The sequence below is a fragment of the Homo sapiens genome, chromosome X (assembly GCF_000001405.40).
Source record: "Homo sapiens chromosome X, GRCh38.p14 Primary Assembly".
Lineage (NCBI taxonomy): Eukaryota > Metazoa > Chordata > Mammalia > Primates > Hominidae > Homo > Homo sapiens.
The window spans coordinates 146,408,264-146,414,263 of record NC_000023.11 but is presented as its reverse complement, the minus strand read 5'-3'; positions in this window follow the sequence as shown (position 1 = coordinate 146,414,263).

Below are 6,000 nucleotides of genomic sequence, written 5' to 3'. Positions count from 1 at the left end.
GACATAAGCCAAAAGGATCAGCTGTATCTACTTAATACAGTATCAGTATTAAGTATTGTTAAATAATACAGTATCAGTATTAAGTATTGTTAAATACTTAATACATGGCCGTTCCTCCCATGTTCAATAACATAAGCTTCTAGCTGAAGGAAATGTGGGTGAGAGCAAATAGAAGATTGGGACACCATGATTTTGTGTACATGTTTGTTTTTCTATTACCATTCGTTTCTGTGCTTGTTTGTGCTATTACCATAAACCTAGAGAGGGAGGAGAGTGCCTGAACAGAGACTATAATAGGTAATATAGAATGCCTTTCAGGGTCCCAGGGGCACTATGAGTTGGCTGATTATTTAAACTACAGAGGAAATCTCTGCTTTCAAGAATAGACTTCAAGAATAAGCAGGAAAATTAAATATTTGAGGTATGAGAAAATTGTGAATTGTACAATAGAAGATGAAACACAACAATCAATCAGAATAAAACACAAATATTGGTTCAAAATAGTCTGGCATACATGTGGTATGTTTACAGAGAACTCTAAAATCATTCTGGATTCAAGCAACTTATTTCTTATTTTGTTGTTACCATTTTAAAATATTAACAGATTTATTTAGAACAAAAGTATATATTGATATTTTTCACTATTGTCTTTTTAAATGCAGAAACTCAGGAGTGGGGGAGGACTAGTCTAAAAATGCTGCATATTTTTGTGATGTAGGAATTTACAGGGAAGTTCAGCACCTATGCTTCCATTTCATCTTTGACGGTTATTTAAAACCACATACGGGAGATCAGTTTTGTGTAGACTTTCATTTATTTTCCCCAGTACGTACATGATTACTTAAAGCAACAAAATTCAGATGTGGAAATTGGTATTGTAAACACTGTGCTAAGCAACATCTGTCGAATCAAGATGGTTGATTTGGCCTTGAGTGTCCTTTAAAATGAAGTTTCTCCATCTGGGGTGCATTATTTCTGAAAGCCAGGTTTTCTATGAAGTAATTTATGGTGTCCAGAGCACCCTGGATAAATGTAACTGTTTTGTCTTTATCTAGAGACTATTTTCAAGTCCAGGGACATATTATATTTTTATAGAAAACAAAGTGTCAACATATCAAGGTGTCATCTGTAAGAATGCCATGTACTACATGACTTATTATCAGTATGGACCTAAGCTCTACCTGATAGATATTCTGCAAAACAAAGTCAAATAAATTCAGGATATATAAAGGAACAAATTTCCACATAAAATGAAATATCCTTTTAGTTAAAGCAAAGCACAAAGTCCTGCAAGTTCTGAAAGGAACCTCTAGTGGGTAAGGATAGTTCAAGAGGATCAAGCGATAGTAATTTGCTACAATGAGGATTTCTATTCTTCTTGAAGTCCACTTACATGATGTTTACTGCTACCAGCATGCCTGTCCTCCCACAGGTCCTTGTTGCCCTTTGAAGATGATAACCTTAGTATAGATAAAGCCAAGAACCCTCAGCGGAAGTGATACTGGGGTTTTCAAAAGAAATATTGCTGAAGTCAGGCAAAATCCTCAAAGGAAATAAATAAAGGAAAATATAAAGAGTGTAAAACAGTGAAGTTTACAAAGTATAGATCTCTTATTTTAAGATAACCTAAGCCTAGAGCCTGAAACGTGGTAAGCATTTAAGTCTCTAATCCGTCTTGAGTCAATTTTTGTATGTGGTATAAGCAAGGGGTCCAGTTTCAATCATCTGCATATGGCTAGCCAGTTATCCCAGCAGCATTTATTGAATAGGGAATCCTTTCCCCATTCCTTGTTTTTGTCAAGTTTGTCAAAGGTCAGATAGCTATAGGTGTGTGGTCTTATTTCTGAGTTCTCCATTCTGTTCCATTGGCCAATGTGTCTGTTCTTGTACCAGTACCATGCTGTTTTGGTTACTGCAGCCCTGTAGAATAGTTTAAAGTTGGTCAGCATGATGCCTGCAGCTTTGTTCTTTTTGCTTAAGATTGCCTTGGCTAGTCAGGGTCTTTTCTTGTTCCATATGATTTTGAAAATATAGTTTTTTTTCTAATTCTGTGAAAAATGTCGTTGGTAGTTTGATAGGAATAGCATTGAATCTGTAAATTCTTTTTGGCAGTAGGGTCATTTTAATTATATTTATTCTTCCTATCCATGAGCACAGAATGATTTTTCATTTGTTTGTGTCATCTCTGCTTTCTTTCAGCATTGTTTTTAAATTCTCTCTGTAGAGAAAATTTACCTACCTGGTTAGTTGTATTCCTAAATATTTTATTATTTTAGTGACAACTGTGAATGGGATTGCCTTCCTGACTTGGCTCTCAGCTTGGCTGTAGTTGGTATATGGAATCATTGTGATTTTTGTACATTGATTTTGTATCCTGAAATTTTGCTGAAGTGTTTTTTTTTTTTTTTAATCACCTGAAGGAGCTTTTGGATAAAGACTATGGGGTTTTCTAGATATAGAATCATGTCGTCTGCAAAATAGGTATAGTTGGACTTCCTCTCTTTCTATTTGGACACCCTTTATTTATTTTTTTTTCCTGATTGCCCTAGCCAGGACTTCCAATACTACGTTGAATAGAACTGGTGAGAGGGCATCCTTTTCTTGTGCCAGTTTTCAAGTGGAATGCTTCCAGCTTTTGTCTATTCAGTATGATATTGGCTGTGGGTTTTTCACAGATGGTTCTTATTATGTTGAGGTATGTTCCTTCAATACCTAGGTTGTTCAGAGTTTTTAACATTAAGGGATGTTGAATTTTATTGAAAGTTTTTTTTTGCATCTATTGAAGTGATTATGATGTTTATGTCTTTAATTCTGTTTGCGTGATGAATCACGCTTATTGATTTGCATATGTTGAACCAAACTTGCATCCCGGGGATAAAGCTTTCTTGATCCTGGTGGATTAGCATTTTAATGTGCTGCTGAATTCAGTGTGCTAGCATTTTGTTGAGCAATTTTTCATCAATGTTCATCAAGGATATTGGCCTGAAGTTTTGTTGTTGTTGTGTCTCTGCCAGATTTTGGTATCAGGATGATGCTGGCTTCATAAAATTAGTTGAGGAGGAGCCTTCCTCTTCAATTTTTTGGAATAGTTTCAGAAGAAATGGTACCAGCTCTTCTTTTTATATCTGGTAGAATTTGGCTGAGAATTCATCCAGTCCCGGGCATATTTTGGTTGGTAGGCTATCGATATGGATTGGATCTGTGTTCCCCTCAAATCTCATGTCGAATTGTAATCCCCAATGTTAAAGATGGGGTCTGCTGGGGTGAAGGTGATTGAATTATGATTAGTGGATTACTCATGAATGGTTTAGTATTCCCCTTGGTACTGTCCTTTAAATAGTCCATTCTCATGAGATCTGGTTGTTTAAAAGTGTGTAGCACCTCCCCCTTCTGTCTCTTGATCCAGCTTTTGCCATGTGATGCGAAAACTCTCATTTCACCTTCCACCATAATTTTCAGCTTCCAGAGATCTCCCCAGAAGCAGATGCCAATGTTACACTTCCTGTACAGCCTGCAGACCAGTGAGCCAATTAAACCTCTTTTTCTTTATAAATGATCCTGTCTCAGGTATTTCTTTATATCAATGAAAGAATGAACTAATACAGCTATTTATTACTGATTCGATTTTGAACCTCATTATTGGTGTGTTCAGGGATTCAGTTTCTCCCTGGTTCAGTCTTGGGAGGGTGTATGTGTCCAGGAATTTGTCTTTTTTTCATATTTTTTAGTTTGTGTGCACATAGGTGTTCACAGTAGTCTCTGATTGTTATTTTTATTTCTGTGGGATCAATACTAATATCCCCTTGGTTGTTTCTACTTGTGTTTACTTGGATTTTCTCTCTCTTCTTCTTTATTAGTCTTGCTGGCAGTCTATCCATCTTATTCTTTCTTTCAATAAATCAGCTCCTGGATTCACTGATCTTTTGAATGATTTTTTTTGTGTCTCAATCTTTTTCAGTTCAGCTCTGATTTTGGTTATTTCTTGTCTTCTGCTAGCTTTGGAATTGGTTTGTTCTTGCTTCTCTAGTTCTTTTAGTTGTGATGTTATGTTGTTAATTTGAGGTCTTTCTAACATTTTGATATGTCATTTAGTGCTATACATTTCCCTTTCAACACTGCCTTATCTTTGTCCCAGATATTCTGGTATGTTGTATACTTGTTCTCATTAGTTTCAAAGAACTTCTTGCTTTCTGCCTTAATTTCATTATTTATCCCAAATCACTCATAAGTAGATTGTTTAATTTCCATGTAATTAATTGTATGGTTTTGAGCAATTTTCTTAGTCTTGAATTCTATTTTCATTGCAGTTGGTCTGAGGGAGTGTTTGGTATGATTTTGATTCTTCTGCATTTGCTGAGAATTCTTTTATGTCCAACTGTGGGGTCTATTTTAGGGTATGTGCCATGTACTGAGGAGTAGAGTGTATATTCTGTTGGCTTTTGGGTGGAGAGTTCTGTAGATGTCCAGCAGATCCATTTAGTCCAGTGTTGACTTCAGGCCCGGAATAATTTTTTTTTTTTTGGCAGTGTCACTCTGTTGCCCAGGAGTGCAGAGTGCAGTGGTGCAGTCTCAGCTTACTGCAACCTCTGCCTCCCGGATTTAAGTAATTCTCCTGGACCAAGGAGCCAGATAATTCCCAGGACACAGAGAATTCCCAATATGCATTCTTTAACCAACATGTCTCCACTGTCCCTCCATCTTCTCCCCAGCATCTGTTAACCACTGTTCTACTCTCTACTTCCATGAGGTAAACTTTTTAAGATTCCATAAGAGTGAGATCATACGTTATCTTTCCTTTTGTGCTGGGCTTACTTCACCTGACATAATGACTACTAGGAGTTCATCCATATTGTCCCAAATGAGATAATTTTATTTTTTTAGGACTCTGTATAGTATTCCATTGTGTGTGTGTATAATGTATATATCTATATGATATATAAATATATGCGATATATATATATATATATTGTGTGTATATATATATGTATAACATTTTCTTTAAGCATTCATGTGTTGATGGACACTTAGGTGGATTCCATTTATTGGCTATTGTGAAGAGTACTGCAATGAACATGAGAGTGCAGATAGCTCTGCAATGTGCTGATTCCATGTCTTTTGGATATACACCCAGAAGTGAGGCTGCTGTACTATACAGTAATTCTATTTTCAGTATTTTGAGGACACTCCATACAGTTTTCTATAATGGCTTTACTAATATACGTTCCTACCAACAGGGTATTAAAGTTCCCTTTTCTCCATATCTTTGCCAGCAATTATTTTTTCATTCTTCATGATAATATTTATTCTAACTGGGATGATATGATATCACACTGTGGTTTTGACTTGCATTTTACTGATTATTAGATACACTTCACGTTTTTTTCATATACCCATTGGCAATTTCTGTTTCTTCTTTTGATAAATGCCTATTCAGATATTTTTACCATTTTTAATCAGTGTATTAGTCCTTTCTCACATTGCTATAAATAAATAACTGAGACTGGGTAATTTACAAAGAAATGAGGTTTAATTGGGTCACAATTTCACAGGCTGTACAGAAAGCATGATGGCTTCTGGGGAGGCCTCAGGAAACTTTCAATAATGGTGGAAGGTTAAGAGGAAGCAAGCATGTCTTACATGGCTGGAGCAGGAAGAAGAGATGACCTACATGCTTTTAAATAACGAGACCTTGTATATTAGTCAATTCTCACACTGCTATAGAAAATACATGAGACTGGGTAATTTATAAAAAAAGAAGTTTAATTGACTCACCTAACATAATGACTACTAGGAATTCATCCATATTGTACCAAATGAGAGAATTTTTTTTAGGACTCTGTCTAGTATTCTCCTGTGTGTGTGTGTATTTTATATATATATATATATATATATATATATATATATATATATATATCATATATATATCATATATAAATATATATGCTATATATAATGCATATATCTAGTAAAACTAGATATCTGGATATCTAGCTTTCTCAG